The sequence below is a fragment of the Homo sapiens genome, chromosome 13 (genome assembly GCF_000001405.40).
Source record: "Homo sapiens chromosome 13, GRCh38.p14 Primary Assembly".
In the NCBI taxonomy this organism is placed as follows: domain Eukaryota; kingdom Metazoa; phylum Chordata; class Mammalia; order Primates; family Hominidae; genus Homo; species Homo sapiens.
Window position 1 is genome coordinate 108,641,342 of NC_000013.11, and position 18,066 is coordinate 108,659,407.

The following is an 18,066-nucleotide window of genomic DNA, read 5'->3' on the forward strand; positions in this document are numbered from 1 at the left end:
AAGAGACTTGAGTTATTGATTATCTAGAAATGAGAAGTGACAGGAAAGGCAGGCACAAATTAACGAATGCTTTTGTGGAAATCAATTGGCCATTCTCCTTCATTCAAGTTGTTAGTAGAAAAAGAGGAAGAGAGTCGTTGAAGTGGGCCAGCAACAAATATAAGATTAAGGAAAGACATTCCTCCTGCTGCCTCCTATTTTAACTATATTAAAGTCATTGCTGCAAAGTATTATTGGGGGAAAAATGCCATTCAAAGGTTAAATTATTTCCTACATGTCTAGTTCATTATTCTCTACTCTGAACAACTTTACTTATTAGGTTTATCTTTGGAGAACCGAGTTGAGATTGAACCCCTTCCACACAGCACTCATGAGCTGAATTTATGCAGGGCAACATTTTGCTTCACCTTTTCCATTCTTAGGGAATCCTAAACAAGTCTTAATTTCCCTTTCATCTCACAGTGATACCTAAAGCACATCACCTGTGATGTACCCACAAAATCAGTTCAAGTGAAATTCAGTAAATCATGGCCTGGCATACTTGGCCAGTGTGAGCTGTGATAACAAACACAGTCATGTAGGTTGGACAGGGAGGCAGCACATCCCTCCATGATCATTAGGGGAGACTCCACTGCTACTTATGGGACCACAGGGTCAATCCTAGGGTCTCTTAGCTACTTTGCAATTTTTATCATCACTTAACTCTTCTAGGGCTTGGTACTTAATTTCCTCATTTGAAAAATGAGGCCAATGATACCATCCCAATTCATTTCCTAGGTAGCTGTGAAAGTCAATCAATTTATTAATAACTTCTCCTTACCGTTATTCTTTCCTTTATCCATTTTGCAGTCACCCAACTATACAATCAGCTCTTACTGAGCCACTGCAGGAGACAGTGCAGGTACAGGCACTGCCCGTGGCATGAGACTGTGGACGTGAAAGGACGTATTTTTTGACTGAACCCCAGTCTGCAGTCTAGTAACAACATGTGAAAGCTCTTGGAAATGTGTGATGCACCATGCAGATTGAGAGACTAGGGCAGGAATGGAGTTACTATGCTCTTCCCCACTTTAATCAGACACGTTGGTAACTTTGGGTGTTTTTGTTTGTTTGTTTTTGGAGATGAAGTCTCGCTCTGTCACCCAGACTGGAGTGGAGTGGCGTGACCTTGGTTCAAGCGATTGTCATGCCTCAGCCTCCCGAGTAGCTGAGACTACAGGCATGCACCACCACGCCCAGCTAATTTTTGTATTTTTAGTAGAGACAGGGTTTCACCATGTTGGCCAGGCTGGTCTCAAACTCCTGACCTCAGGTGATCTGCTCGCCTAGGCCTCCCAAAGTGCTGGGATTACAGGTGTGAGCCACCGTGCCCGGCCTTTGGGTGTTTCTTTTATCTGACCCCTCTGATTTATAGTAAGTGACAGAGGCTGGCATCTGTTCACAAGACTTCTTTTCTATCATTTAAAAAATAATTAGTTTTATTTACTAATCCTACCCCCCCAAATTTTGTCTTATTAAAAATGTTCATTATGACAGCACATAACTGAATCCCCTCAGTATTTTGTAGATTTATTTCAACACTTTGCCTCTTAACTTTCTGAAAGTCTGGTTCTAGATGTAACTCTTCCATTATTGTTTTGGTCTATTTTGTTAAGTCAGGTTTATGGAGGTATAATTTACATACAGAACTTATTTTTAGGTGTATAGTTAAAAAAAAATTTGACAAATGAGGGACCCACCATGTAAGGGACCCACAATGAACATATAGAATATTTTTCTCACTCCAAAGAGTTCCCTTGTGTCCTTTATAGTCAATCTCCTTCCATAATCACTAGCCTCTGTCAATCACAGATCTGATTTCTGTTTTTATAGCTTTGCCTTTTCCAGAATGTCATGTAAATGAAGTTGTACAATATGTGATCTTCTGAGATTGGCTTTTAAAATTCAACATCATGCCCTTGAGATCCAGCCAAGTTGTTGTCTACCAATGCTTCTTCCTTTTAATTACTGAGTGGTGTTCGGTGGTGTGGATGCGCCATGGTTTGTTGAACTATTCACCTATTGAAAGACATTCCGGTTGATTGTAGCTTTTGTCTATTACAAGTAAAGTTACTATGAAGAATCCTGTACTGGTTCTTGTGTGGATGTAAGTTTTCATTTCCTTTAGTAAATGTTCAAGAGTGCAATTGCTGGGTATGGCAAGTGTGTTTAGTTGTTTAAAAAGATTGGCTTTCATTCTTCAGCATGATGCATCTGGCAATCATCCATGTTGATGCATATATCACAGGTTTATTCATTTTTATTGTTGAGTAGGATTCTCTTTGATGGATATATCACAGTGTGTGCACCCCATTCACTAGTTTGTGGGCATTTATTTGTTTCCAGTTTGGGGCTATTATGAGTAGAGCCTTTATAAATATTCAAAGACAAGTTTGTTTGTTTTGCATGGGCGCGTGGTTTTATTTGCCTCAGGTAAACACTTAAATACTTAGGACTGGGATTTCCCTTGTATCTTGAGACACTGAAATTCTTGGCCTGCCATGGAGGATTTCACTAGCAGAAATCATAAAAGTGCTGTACTCAAACCATTGTGATTTAATTATTAAGCCATGGGATGGGAAATATTAGGTAAACCATTCTACTTTCAAAAAATCTCAACTGGGCAAGTTCAACACAGAATATTTCTGGGCTTTCTCCTTCCACTGTGTCCATTATGTCCTGGGCCCAGTTTCCTGGGTCCAGCCTGGGGTTCCTCTTTCTTTACCTGGCTCTTGAGTTTCGGATCCTCAGCTCTGAGACGGGGAGAAATTCCTGAGCTCATTCTGCTTACATAATAGGCTTCTGGTTTCCATGGCTATGTGGTCTAGCAGTGTCAGCCCAGGGATGCTCCCACAGTGTCACTTTTGATGTCTTCCAGTTTCTGATTTCCAGGGTTCTTACACTCCCACCACTCCACTCCCTTTCCAGGTACCTGGTCTAAAATGGTTGGAGCATTTATTCTACCATCTATCTGTCTGTCTGTCTATCTATCTATCTATCTATCTATCTATCTATCTATCTATCTATCTATCTATCATCTGTTTAAATTACTGCAACCCATGAGCTGAAATAATAAACCTTAATCCTCTTTAACTCTGTTAACACAATGGGAAAGATTTGCTCTTTAAATAATTAGTAGCAATGGTGTTTTTTAATGGAAGACCCATAGTCTGTTTACATTTCAAACTGCTTTGTAAAGAAGAAATTCTTAATGAACTCAAGCTCCAAATTTTAATTAACAGTCTCTAAAATGCATAGCATTTAACATCTTTTTTTTTCTCATTTTCTTATCTAACATTCCCTTATCTTCATCATTGATTCAAGCATAAATGACATTTCAAAAGTATATTTAAATAATTAGCTTTCGGTAGTGTCAATGAAGGCCATAGAAAGACAAATCTGTGTTCAACCCTCACACCCATGAACAGGCCAGAAGACACTGGTTTAAAAATATAGTCTGGAGTATAGTCTGAAAATATTTTTAGGATGTTTGGTTAAGAGTGTTTGATGAAGTTAATAGTGGCAATTTTATTCCAAGAGTATAAGTAGGATAATACCAGCAGCATTCTTTACTGGTTTTATGAAAATTTAGAAGTTGCAGAGTGTTGTTTTGGGCTGGTTTCTAGCAGTTCTGTGCCTTATCCCTGCACCCCCAGGAAACAGTAGCAGAGACATCAGGGGTGGGGACAAGACAAGAGGCAGTGGCCATGACAGGTCTCCTGAGTCTTCCTTACTCATGATGAGGGCTTACTTTGGACCAGATCTAAGCTAGGTCTGGAACATCAGGCCAAGACTGATCATATAATAAAGCTGGTTTGGAGTTAAAACCAAACTTACATTGATAAGATCTGACACATTTTCATGCTACTTACAATAGTATTTGGTAAAAGAGATTGAGTCATCAATAGTAATCAGTACACATAAAAGACGGTCATAAATGTTCTTTAATGAAGTCATGTTTCAGCAGTTCTTTTCTTGATTCCCCAGTGTCTACGATAGTTTGCAGTGTCGAAAATGACCTCTACACCTTGTAAGTTTGGTATGTACGCTGTCTCCTGTAGCTTTAAAAAGGCTCTCAATGTGATTCCTAACATTCAGAGAACTCAAACTTGCCTACTCTGTGCCCCGATCTCCTTCCACCAACCTCCTTCCACCAACCTCCTTCCACCTCCCACAAAATAAGGAGTATGGTCTCGTTCATCTACAAGGATTCTGGGGAAAAGATCGCCAGTGGTTTTCCCCTTACCAGCTGTGACTTTGCTGAGGAAACATACTGAGTTGCAGAAGATGATGGATCAATGTTGACTGGAATTACATGGAGGGTGATAGATCAGGAGGAGGCTATGAGTGTCTGAAAGGAATGCATAATGGCCTCAGGTGGCATTACCACCCAACACTGCCTATCCCACCTGTTTTATCTTCCACATCTACCTTGTACATTCTCCACCTTTCCCTATGCCAAAGACTTGACGCTGGATCCACAGAGGAAGCGGAATCAGTACCTCCAAGTTTCCCAGCTCAGACTGAACAGAGCATAAGTAGTCCTGCCCCAGGGTGCAGGAAGGTGGGGACTCAAGAGCCAGGTGGGAAACCCTCTTAGAAGTGCTTACAAGGTATGCACTTACTCCCAGCCCTGCCTCAGCCCTGCCCAAGTTTCAGGCTGACTGTAGGTGACCCCTGTCCTCTGGGGCACTACATTTTTCCTGGTTCCTTAGTTTGTGATCACATGTCTGCATGAGGAGAAAGTGGTAGCTCCCATGAAAGGAAAGTAAGAAAAAGGAGGGCTTTTCTTGTTTGTTAGTTTGATTTTCTTTTTTTCCCTTGTTAAAATTTTCTTAATGTATCTGGATTATATCATCCATGATGTAGTTTTTAGCATGCTTTTCTTTCTGTGTTCTTCAATTAATTTTTAACACATGACCAAAGATTTTAGAGGCACACAGATGAACCACATAACCCCATTTTATTAATATATTCAGAAAAATATTTTAGTTGACTCAATTCAAACTCAGCTATGAAATTGTTGTATTAAAGGGTAGTAATCAAAGTTATGGAAAAAAATCTGTTATGCATTAAGGGAATTCCTCGTGTCTCTCTTCAACTCATGATTAAGCAATTTATGTCATTCTGTAGAATTTGTAAATTGGCATTAAGCCTTCATCTTTGAATTTCAAAATTTTAGCCTTTATCAAATTTCAGATCAAAAGGCATGAAATCTAACTTGACCTTCTCCAAGCACTAAATTCTCCTTCCATCTGAGTGAACTGAGCACTATATCTAGTCCTCTCCTTTAGATATAGGTATATTTAGGCCATTGTGCTATGAAAGTATTCTGTGACTAATCTGTCAAAAAGAGACAATATTGGTAATTTTGACATTATTTAGAAATAATTAAATGCACCCCTTTGAAAATCACATATTGCAATATTTTCTCATTTTTACAGCTTTAAAATATATAATAGGATGAAACTTCTGCTTGTGTATATAAACTTACAGCTAGTTTAAAGAAACTGTATGCAGCTAATATCTGTAAACTATTCCAGTTGCTTGATGGACATTTCCTACTTGAAGCATTGTCAGCGAACACTATATATATGTACTCTGATACATATGAATTGATAATTGATACATTTGTATCACAGTCATATGCATGCATATATTTGCCCCTCTTCTAAATCCATGGCATTTTCCCTTGTGATTGATGGTTTTACCTTTATTCTTGTCACTGCAGTTTGAAAGTTCAGAGACTTTTCTTTCTCTACCTTCTGACTCCACTTTCTCCCTTGTCACCCAGTAGGGCAATTCACCATCTCTCAAAGGTTCTTTCTCTTCATAATCCCTATCATTTACCCCGGCATTGCATTTTTTTTGTTCGAACTCAGACTCTCCTAACTTTCACCCAGAATTAGTGCATATGCTTCGGGAAGATGCTCCCTACCATGTCTCTCTATGAGCTGCTCTAGAAGCCTCCAGATTTTTGATGGACTCCACTATTTTTTTGTAATGCTGTTTGCAAATCTTTAATGGTTCCTGTGGCAGAACTGAAAATGATGAAACTATTTTTACTCTCTCAGAAATGTGGAGATTCCAATTCTTGTTTTAGCTTTATTTTCAACTTTTCACCCTTATGTATCTTTGCTTCTGCCAAACTGATAAGTGCTTGAAATTATCCTATAACTTCTGCCTTTTTTCCATTTTTTTCTCAACTTAAAATTGAGAAATTTTTTCTCATCTTTGAATTTAAAATTTTTAGCTGTGATTAAATTTCAGATCAAAAGGCACAGAATCTCTAAGTACTAAATTCTCTTTATGTATGAGTTAACTTAGCACTTTGTCCATTCCTCTTTTTTAGATATAGGTATATTTCAGTGACTATCTTCTTTATCCTACTTGGTAAACAGTATCAATGCAAAGTAACTTATTAAACTTGTAACCATCAAATGTCTAAATACAAAGCTTTGCATATAGCAAATTCCAAATAATAGATTTGAATGATTGAATACATTAGCAGATGAATGAATGATTGGATACATTAGCAGATGAATGAATGAATGAGTTCCTTTAACATGACAGGACCCTTGATATGCTCTGTAAATGCAACTGTAACCAAAACAGAGATGGCCCCTGTATTCATGAAGTTTATGGTCTATAGGGCAGAGGGAAAGGAAGAATACTGATTAAAGTCTCCCTTTCATCATAAGAGCATAATTATGTGGTGAGCCAACTGCTTTACATCAACTTTTCAGATACATTCAGATATTAAAAAGAGTACAGTGCAAGAATTGGGCTCAATGGGCCATAATGGGACAAAGATGGTCAAACTTAACTTACATGATCCAGTAATATGCTCCCTGGTCCTTCTCTGGCTTTAATATTCCCTGGGCATGGTCAGTGGTGTCTCCATATCCCAGGAGGAGAAGCACTGAATACTGATTTTCACTGCCTCTCAACTCTTTCTTACATGTGTGCACACTCAACCCCATGGCTATGTCTTCATGACCAGGGATTTTATCTTCTACCTTTTTATGTCTTAGTTCACAGCCAAGTGCAGAGAGGACATTCAATGAATTCCTTGTTTATGAAGAATTGACTGACTGAAGGGAATTGTTGTTCTCATTATAAGCACAGCACATACTGAACACAAAATATGAAGCTTTCTGATATCAGAAAATGTATTATTTAAAAATAAATAATATATAATAAATATTCTATATAATACAAAATATAAACTCTTGTCCTACTTGTTGAAATAAGCTATACATTCAAAAGAGGGCAGAACTAGTTATGCCAAAGACATATGTCCTTTGGCACAAAGAAATCGATCTTTATGGATTTTTATATTACACGAGTCACTTGGTTGCCACTGGCAGAAATCAACTCATAATGGTTTAAATACAAAAGGGAATGTATTGGCTTTTATATTTGGAAAATGGCCCTTATACTCAGAAAATCTGAATGCCAGTGGCTTCATGTATTGCTGGATCAGGGGTCAGGGGATTTGACTGATATTTTCCATTCTAATTCTCTCTCTCTCTCTCTCTCTGCATCTCTTTCTCTCTCTTTTTCTGTCTCAGAAGAGATTGACATTGACAGCCATGATATCCTCATGGGCTGATATTTAAACAACAGAGAGGGCATTAAAAAAATATTCCAGTGTCCCAGGAAGGGGAACATCACACACCAGGGCCTGTTGTGGGATGGGGGGAGGGGGGAGGGATAGCATTAGGAGCTATACCTAATGTTAAATGATGAGTTAATGGGTGCAGCACACCAATATGGCGCATGGATACGTATGTAACTAACCTGCACGTTGTGCACATGTCCCCTAAAACTTAAAGTATAATAAAAAAAATTCCAGTGTCCATTTATCAAACTTAAAGGAAAGATCCTGAATTGTCCCACTAGGGCCAGGTCCTACACTGGAATCAGTCATTGATTGTCAGTGTCAGAGCCATTATGGTGGGCTCAGCCCAGTTCAGATTTCCAGTCCCGTGGGCAGTTGACTTGGACAATGTTTCTACTAACTTTCAGGACCACATGGAGTGACAGATATGAGGTGCTTCTCCAGGGGAAGGATGCTCCCAGAAAAAATAATGGAACACTCTAGATGGTTAATGAAAATGGCAGAATCTGTATAATGGAGTAGCAGGAAAATAGGAATAAGGATGGAAGATATATGGAAAAAGCTGACTTTATTTTGAATACAAATTAGTATTAACCTTCAATAAGCAAGGTAGAACCATTGACTATTTCTATACCATTTCTATACCATTATTTGTATACCATTATTCTGAATTGGTATAATAACAAACTTGTTTTTAAAGTCTACATAGTAGAGTGAAGTGGTGAGAGAATAAAGCCAAGGGTGTTTAATGCAATAATTAAGACTTGCAATGAGGAGGGTTCTTATGTTGGACACAGAGAAACTTATCTGTGAATTGGTTTCTGTGTTCTTGCATTGATCTTTAAATTGACCTTGCAGAATTTCTTTCATCTGAATGTGTCTTAGAAATTAATAAAAAGCGGAATGAAAATCATGAAAAACTATAAAATATATGTAAAACCTAAAAATGACAATAGAGATTTTAGCATCTTATTTTTCCCAAATGTATTTACAGTGAAAAGAAAAATAAAACAGGCATTGTAAAGCCAAAATTTAATATTAAATGTGAACTTTAGTTTTGTCTCAGGCCTTTTAGTACTGAAAATGTTTTATATCAAAAAATTAAATAGCAAATATTTTATATCAAAATAATATTTTAAATAAAATTATTGTCAAGACACATGAAAATCATGCATTTTTTTCAGTTTTACTTGCAATCATGAAATTTAAGTTACACACATACATACATACTTTTAAATTAAAAACAAAGAAATTTAAGAGAAATCATTAATATAAAGTATATGCTCGTTAGTCTTGTATCTAAAATGTGTAATGTTCATTTTGCAATGTTGCTTCAGACTCAGACTAAAGGCATCCAGGAAGCTGCCTGAATGGAGCCAGCAAGGGCTTCTGTTTCTATAGGAGGGAATCCTGTCTGAGACTGTCTGAGCACCAGAGAATTTGCCTATTAAATACCTTTCTGGCAGGAACAGTGAGCTGAGTCTCTTCCAACCGGAATTGAAGATGTTGATCAAAGATGAAATATGTAGATATGGATTCAGAGCAGAAAGATCGTTCAACATTTGAGGGTTCAAAAATGTATATTTAGGGTAGAGCATCTAAATTTATTTTACTGAGTATAAAACCAAAGAGAACTTCTCTTTTGGGATATAGCCTGTTTGGGCCAGGAATCCAAGCTTGTCTGAGACTGTCTTAATTCCAAAGCATCATCCTCTCTTGGAAGAAATAGAGCAACAATTTGAGCTCTTACATCTTGAAGACGCTCAGTAGTGGAGGCATGGTGTTTAGAATGGCAGGGGCATTTAGGAAAAGACAGGTTCTGGTGTGCAGCATATGACGCTTCATCTGAAGGCATCTGGAAACAGCCATAGGAGGCAGTTCTGATCTTAAAGGGCCAGATTTTTTAGAGAAATTGTCATCTGATAAGTCAGTAGCTACGATGGGATGTGCCAGACCCTTGGCTGATGCTTCACATGCATTTTATCATTGGATCATCCCTGTGAGGTAGACACGAGACACAGAGAGGAAAAGGAATCTGCCCAAAGTCACACAAGCAATAAACGGTTGAGTGAAGATTTGGCACTGTGCAGTTGGTTCCCAGGGCAGGGCTTCAAATCAGCAGGCTCTCCAGAGCCTGGATGTAGCTGGCTGGTCTCTGCAGGGAACCTGGCCGGTGGGTGCCCTGCAGCACTCTGTGCGCTGGGGCCTTAGCACTTGGATATGACTTTGGAGCTGTCTGTGGCACAACCTGCAGGGCATAGTACACTCTGTCAGCCATAGGTTTGACTGGACAGCTGGGTCTACTGGGATAATGAAGCAGAAACATCACATCATGAGGAGAAACTTCAGTTTTATTATTACCCTGAAACGAACCCTAGAAAGAATTATGACTGTAAATCTATATCCACTGAAAGCTTTTGATCATGACCAAATCACTTGTTGTTTACGAAATATGGTAAGGGAAATAGTAAGTGTCAGAAAGCATAGATGGATGTGCAAAAAGTAAATATACCTTACATTATACAGTAATTTTTATGTCATGTGTATTGGTGTTATTTCCATTTTAAAGAGAAAATACTTACTACATTCTCTTACCAGATAAACATGCCCAAATAATTGGATGGAAACACAAGAAATGGCCTATTGATACATAATTTAAAGAATTAAGAGATAGCTGTAAACTAGTGAAATGAAAAATATTGTTGACTTTCTTGAGAAGAATTTAAATTATTTAGGTTTATTTCTCTGTCTTTCAGAGAAGTGTTTAGGTGCAGGATTATGTGTAGAACTAAATCCTCAAATATTTTAGGGCATAGCGTCTATATGTTGCACACATGTAATTTCTTTCAACTATTTATTGCTCTATAAAGAGGGATATAGACCTGCAGCTTGATTACAAGGATGGTAAAATCCAACACATTTTAAAGACTTCAGTGCTTAAGGAGGGGTTATTTTTTTTAGGCTCTGGGGGAGTAGGTTGAAATTGATTATACTCTTGTCTTTGAGAATCCACATTGTTCCTTTGTTTCATCGTCATTGTATATGCAGTAAAAAAAAAGTCTTTGGAAGAGTGTTATAACAATGGATTCTGAGAATAAAACTTCTGCTAGAGGAGTTGTTAGGAGCACAGATACCAATGTGTGTGTGTGTGCGCGCGCGCGCATGTGTGCGCGTGTGTGTGTGTGAATGTGTCTGTGTGTCTACAGCACCTGCATGTAAGCATGCTAATTCCTGAACAACTATCTTTTGGCCTCTCAGAATTCCTAGCAAATACTTTTGTAAAATAGGGTAAACAATAAGTTTGTGACTACATTATTTGTGAAATACTTCAGCTATGTATATATGTTTTTAAAGCCCCATAATCTAGCTGCTTGTGTCTTATCACTTTCTTTCATGTTCCTATAGTGGTAAGAACACATAACATAAAATGTACCATTGCAACCATTTTTAAGTGTACAGTTCAGGAATGTTAAGTATATTCTCATTGTTATGAAACAGATTTCCTGAACATTTCATTTTGTCATTCTGAAGCTCTGTACCCATTCAACGTCAACTCTCATCTTGCCTCAGTCCCTGGCAACCATCATTCTACTTTCTGCTTCTGAGTTTGACCTCTTTAGAAGCCTCATATAAGTGGAATCCTACAGTATTTATCTTTTAGTGATCAGTTTATTTCACTTAAAAAGTGTCTTCAATATCCATCCATGTTGTGGCATGTACAAGAACCTCTTCCACTGTAGGCTGAATAATATTCCATTATACATGTATACCATGTTTTGTTTATCCATTCATCTATGGACATCTGCTTCCACTTCTTGGCAATTTTGAATAGAGCTTTTGTAAACGTGGGTATACAAATATCTCTCCAACACCCTGCTTTCAATTATTTTGATGTATACCCAGAAGTAGCATTGTCAGATCATATGATAGTTGAAGTTTTCATTTTTTGAGAATACTCCAAACTGTTTTTCACAATGGCTGCACCACTTTACAATCCCAACAGTGAACAAGTGTTACAATTTCTCTACATCCTCACCAATGCTTTGTATTTTCTGTTTCTTTGATAGTAGCTATTCTCTCAGATATGAGGTCATAACCTGTTGTGGTTTTGACTTGCATTTCTCTGATGATCAATGATGTTGAGCATATCTTTATATGCTTGTTGGGAATTTGTATATCATCTTTGGAAAAATATCTATTCAAGTCCTTTTCCCATTTTTAATCAGATTATTTGATTTTTTGTTGCTGAGTTCTAAGAGTTCTTTATGTGTTCTAGATATTAATCTCCTATTAGGTGTATAAGGGTAAATATTTTCTCCCATTCTGTAAGCTGCCTTTTCACTGTGATGCTTATGTACTTTTATGCACAGAAGTTTTTAAGTTTGATGTAGTCTCATTCGTCTATTTTTGCTTTTTCTGTCTGTGCTTTTGGTGTCATAGCTAGAATTCATTGCCAAGTCCAATGTCATAAATGTCATAAAGATTTTTTCCCTGTGTTTTTTTCTAAGAGTTTTACAATTTTAGGTCTTCAATCCATTTTGAATTAATTTTGTATATAATGTAAAATAAGTCCAATTTTATTTTTTTGCATGTATGTTATTTTTGTTCTTTTATTATTATTTTTCAGTTTTGAAAACTGGTATCATTTAGTATGTTCAATCTTTGATAACATTTGTTTGTATTAAAATATATTCTTCCCCCGGTGTAAAACATGAATGTTGTTAGAAAATGGAAGAGGATATATATGCTTATATGCACACACACACATGCATATATATACATATATATATATGTGTGTATATATATATATATTCTTATATAGACTGTGTCCCCTAGAAGCAGAGAATGAAGAGTCAGGTGCACATTCCTATGTATTGAGACAGCTCAACAGAGAAAACCCATAAGGGAGTGAAGGAAGCAGGGCATAGAACAGAAAAGAGCAGAAAAACTATGTAGTCTTTGGCAGAGTCTATTATCATTCCAATCCACTTTGCTTTAGGGTACAAGTCACAGCATGGAGTGTCTCTGCTTGAGTCAAGGGGACATGTTTTTGTATCCTTGTGTAGGTCTCTCAGTGACTATGGCTTATGGGATGGGGTTAGGGTATTCCATTCCCTAGGAGGCTGAGGCTGACAGGGCAATTGTCTAGAGGAGGGGACAGCTGTGAATCCTTCCAGCCAGTACCAAGGTGACACGCTTTGGCTCTGTGTTCCCACCCAGTTCTCATCTTGAATTGCATTCCCATAATTCCCACATGTTGTGGGAGGAACCCAGTGGGAGATAATTTGAATCACGGGGGCGGTTTCCCCCATACTGTTCTCGTGCTAGGAAGTCTCACGAGATCTGATGGTTTTATCAGGGGTTTGCATTTCTGCATCTTCCTCATTTTCTCTTGCTGCTGCCATGTAAGAAGTGCCTTTTGCCTTCCGCCATGATTCTGAGGCGTCCCCAGCCATGTGGAATTGTATGTCCAATTAAACCTCTTTTCCTTCCCAGTCTTGGATATGTCTTTATCAGCAGCACGAAAATTGACTAATACAGTAAACTGGTATCAGTAGAGTGGGGTGTTGCTGAAAACATACCCGAAAATGTGGAAGTAACTTTGGAACTGCATAACAGGCAGAGGTTTGAACAGTTTGGAGGGCTCAGAAGAAAACAGGAAAATGTAGGAAAGTTTGGAACTTCCTAGAGATTTGTTGAATGGCTTTGACAAAAATGCTGATAGTGATATGAACAATAAGGTCCAGGCTGAGGTGGTCTCAGATGGAGATGAGAAACTTGTTGGGAACTGGAGCAAAGGTGACTCTTGCTACGTTTTAGCAAAGAGAATGGTGGCATTTTGCCCCTACACTAGAGAATTGTGGAACTTTGAACTTGATAGAGATGATTTAGCCCATCTGGTGGAAGAAATTTCTAAGCAGCAAAGTATTTAAGAGGTGACCTGGGTGCTGTTAAAAGCATTCCATTTTAAAAGGGAAACAGAGCATAAGAGTTCAGAAAATGTGCAGCCTGATGATGCGTAGAAAAGAAAAACCCATTTTCTGAGAAGAAATTCAAGCTGACTGCAGAAATTTGCATAAGTAACAAGCAGCCGAATGTTAATCCCCAAGACAATGGAGAAAATGTCTCCAAGGCATGTCATAGGTCTTTATGATAGCCGCTCTCCTCACAGACCCAGAAGCATAGGAAAAAACAAAGGTTTCATGGGCCAGGCCCAGGGTCCCTATGTTGTGTGCAGCCTAGGGACTTAGTGTCCTGCGTCCCAGCCTCTCCAGCTATTGCTAAAAGGGGCCAAGGTCCAGCTGGGCCCATGGTGTCAGGGAGTGCAAGCCACAAACCTTGGCAGCTTCCACATGATGTTGAGCCTGCAGGTACACAGAAGTCAAAAATTGGAGTTTGGGAACCTCCACCTATATTTGAGAAGATGTATGGAAATGCCTGGATGCCCAGGCAAAAGTCTGCGGCAGCGGCGTGGCCCTCATGGAGGACCTCAGCTAGGGCAGTGTGGAAGGGAAATGTGGGGTCAGAGCCTCCACTGGGGCACTGCCTAGTGGAGCTTTGGGAAGAGAGCCACCATCTTCCAGACCCCAGAATGGTAGATCCATCGACAGCTTGCACCACACACCTGGAAAAGTCGCAGGCACTCAATGCCAGCCCATGAAAGCAGCCAGGAGCCGGGGCTATACCCTGCAAAGCCACAGGGGTGGAGCTGCCCAAGACTATGGGAACCTACCTCTTGCATCAATGTGACCTGGATGTGAGACCTGGAGTCAAAGGAGATCATTTTGGAGCTTTAAAATGTGACTGCCCCACTGTATTTTAGACTTGCATGGGTTCTGTAACCCCTTTGTTTTGGCCAGTTTCTCTCATTTGGAATGGCTGTATTTACCCAATACCTGTACTAGCATTGTATCTAGGAAGTAACTAGCTTGCTTTCGATTTTACAGGCTCATAGGCATAAGGGACTTGCCTTGTTTCAGATGAGACTTTGGACTGTGGACCTTTGGGTTAATGCTGAAATGAATTAAGACTTTGGGGGATTGTTGGGAAGGCATGATTTGTTTTGAAATGTGAGGACATGAGATTTGGAGGGGCTAGGGGCAGAATGATATGGTTTGGCTGTGTCCCCACCCAAATCTCATCTTGAATTATTCTCCCATAACTCCCACATGTTGTGGGAGGCACCCAGTTGGAGATAATTTGAATCATGGGAGCAGTTTCCCCCATACTACTCTCGTGGTAGGGATTAATCTCAGGAGATCTGATGGTTTTATCAGGGGTTTCCATTTTTGCATCTTCCTCATTTTCTCTCGCCACTGCCATGTTAAGAAGTGCCTTTTGCCTCCTGCCATGATTCTGAGGCCTCTCCAACCATAGGGAACTGTAAGTCCAATTAAACCTCTTTTTCTTCTCAGTCTTGTGTATGTCTTTATCAGCAACATGAAAATGGACTAATATACCAGGTCAGCGGGGGATGGGTAAAGGGCATTGGGCAGGACATCAATAGTGCCCACTTCCATATTCCAAATGTCTGAGATCTTCGATATAAAGCATCTCCTAAATTGAAAATATAAGGAGAAGTGATTGAAACATAATTCATCCACATCAGATAAATAAATATACATTCTTACTCATAAATGATAAAGTCAATTTTGTTTTCCTTTACAGAAAATATTCCAACAATTATTTTATTTCCTTCTGTTGATTCATTTTCCTTTTGGAAAAAAAGTAGGGCAATAAGCAGTTTATTTCCATTCATGCCCATAATAGATTCATACTGAACCTTTCACCAGAATCCGCTTCATTCTCAGCTTTTTGAGTTCTACTCATAAAGGGTGAATAATAACCAATAAATCCAGTACAAAAGTTAAAGAAAAAGCAATCAGTGAAAACAGGTACTCCATCCTAATTGTCCCGTTTCCTTGGTGCTCTATGGAGACAGCTGACTCAGCACCAGACAGCAGGCTGCCAGTGTCCACCACACATCCCTCTAAGAGGCTCACCTAAGAAGGCACATACGCCTGCTGCAGCTGAAGCTTCCAGGCCTCCTATGTTGAATATCATCTTGAACGGTCTTAATGAACCACATAATTTCATCTAGAAATGTTACTACATACTGTAGCTACAGAAATTGCCAAAATATTTTTCTCAATAGCTGTAATATTTTAATTGTAATCATAATCTGAATATGCTCCCTCCATTGTCTAGCTCTTTGGACCTCTGTCACCAATCAGGTGGCTGTGTTTGTGTAGAGCTTTTGCTTTGTTCTGTGTTCTGTTCCACTGGTCTAAGTGTCTATTCCTCTACCAAAGCCACAGTTAGGAAATGTCGAAGAGAGAAGGTGACCTAATAGATTTATATCCTCCAAAAATAGAGGAGAAGTTATGAAAGGTTTATTTTTATTACCTGTAATTTTTTTAATGAATGCTATACTATTTTGTGTTTGTTTAATTTTATCTGCAGCATATTTCGAGAGGTGGAAGAAATATATATCTTGGTTGTAGGAAAGATGATTCTACATTTTATTAAATATTTCCAGTTTGCTTTTTAATTGTAATGACATTTGTAAACTTAATCAATGTTTTTTTATCTTCTTACATTTTCCTATATGTTAATAAGGTGGAACATCTTTTGTTAGGTTTGAAAATGTAGCTCTCTTCTTCTGTGTGTATTTTGACTTGCATTCAGCAAAGTTCCGGACTATCACTCCTAATAGCTGACTCATAGGGTGTGTTGGTTTCTCTATGTAGCTAACAGTATTTACAATAATAACTGACTTTTTTCCTCTTCCTACCCACATTTTATGCTCCTTATATATTTTTCTATTTTTTTCTATGCTAAGACCTTCATTTTGAGGTAGAATAAAAGCAGCAATAAAGGGCCTTCTTTTTCTAAATTTTAAACACAATTTAATGTTTTAAAATAAGCCACCCTTTCATTCTGCTGACAAACTATACATTCATGGGTTCATTTTGCTAATATGTATGCACGTAGGCTATTTGCATGTGTTTATACAAGAGATTGACCTGTAATCTCCTTTTTGGGATGGCCTCATTTTGGTATCGAGCTTATGCTTGTCTCAGAAAATGAACTGAGGTAATTTTCTTCTTTTTCTATTGTACGAAAGAACTGGATGAAAATGCAGGTTATCTCTGCCTTAAAGACAGGTTAAATCATTTGGGTCATTTTGTTTGTTTGTTTTTATTTCTGGTCTATAGATTTTTAAAAACTGATTTAATTTATACAATGATTGCATAAATTGGTTCATTTTCCACTTCTTCTTGAGTCACTTTTTGTAAGTTATATTGTTCTAGAAATTGTCAATTTCTCACGTCTTTCTTCACCTTTCCTCTTTTCTTGTTTCATGTCTATTAATTAATAGCATCATTTTATTTTCTTCCTTCTTTTTTTTGTTTCAACTTTGTGTGTGTGTGTGTGTGTGTGTGTGTGTGTGTTTTCTAAATTCATGTGCCAGATACTTCGCTTATTGACTTTAAAACTATATTCTTTTCTAAAATGTATTTAAAGTTAATAATTTATTTCTATGAATTGCTTTAGTTTTATCCACAAAATTGTGATGGATCTCCTTTCATCAATGGTTAATTCTAAAAATGTATTATTTCTGTGATGTTTTCTTCTCTGAACCATGCTTTATGTAGAATTGGCTTTGTAAGTTTCTGAACATATGGGGAGGTATGGTTTCATTTCTTTAGTTGATATTCCATTTTCAATTATGTTAAGAAAACGCCTGTGTAATTTTGGTTCCTCAGAATTTATTGAGATTTGCTTTGCTTTATGGCCTAAGAGACAGTTAATATCATAAATCATCTATGAATTCTTGGAAAAGAATGTTTCCTGCAAATTGTCTGCAAGTTTCTATAAATGTACTTAGATCAAATTTTCTGTGCTCTTAGTAATGTTTTGCCTCTTTAGCAATCACAGAGAGATTTGCTTAAAAATCTTGAACACTGAGAGTACCATGGCCACAGGAAGATTTTTATTCTAGATGACATGGGGCATTTCCGGTAGTTGTACAGCAGAATAAATTTACATATTCTTTTTTTTTTTAGTTCATTTTCCTCTTCACTTTACTCTTTATATTTCTAGTTAGTTATAACATAATGTCTCGACATCATGACACAGTGCATAGGGTCCTCCAAACCAAGGTGCATGGAAACCATGTGTGTATATATATGTGTGTGTGTGTGTGTATATATATATGATATATATATGCTATATATGATATATATGATATATATATATCATATATATGATAGTATACATATATATCATATTATATACATATATAATACACATATATACACACACATACACAAACACATCTATTTAGATGTCTAGGTATAGATATATAACTAGATGTCAGATATTTCCTGGCTTTCAAG

General features: G+C 37.8%; 1 protein-coding gene across 5 annotated transcripts in view, besides 1 other annotated feature; it reads left to right on the forward strand.

Annotated features, from left to right (window-relative positions):
- Positions 1-18,066, forward strand: part of MYO16 (myosin XVI) — a 712,290-nt gene that overhangs the window by 145,626 nt on the left and 548,598 nt on the right. The window lies entirely within an intron of this gene.
- Positions 10,665-10,858: a silencer, noted in NCBI's record as "fragment chr13:109304354-109304547 (GRCh37/hg19 assembly coordinates)". NCBI's record gives its function as "represses an EF-1alpha promoter that drives an FKBP-Casp9 reporter gene in an ReSE screen in K562 erythroleukemia cells {active_cell/tissue: K562}" and the evidence as "EXISTENCE:reporter gene assay evidence [ECO:0000049][PMID:32094911]".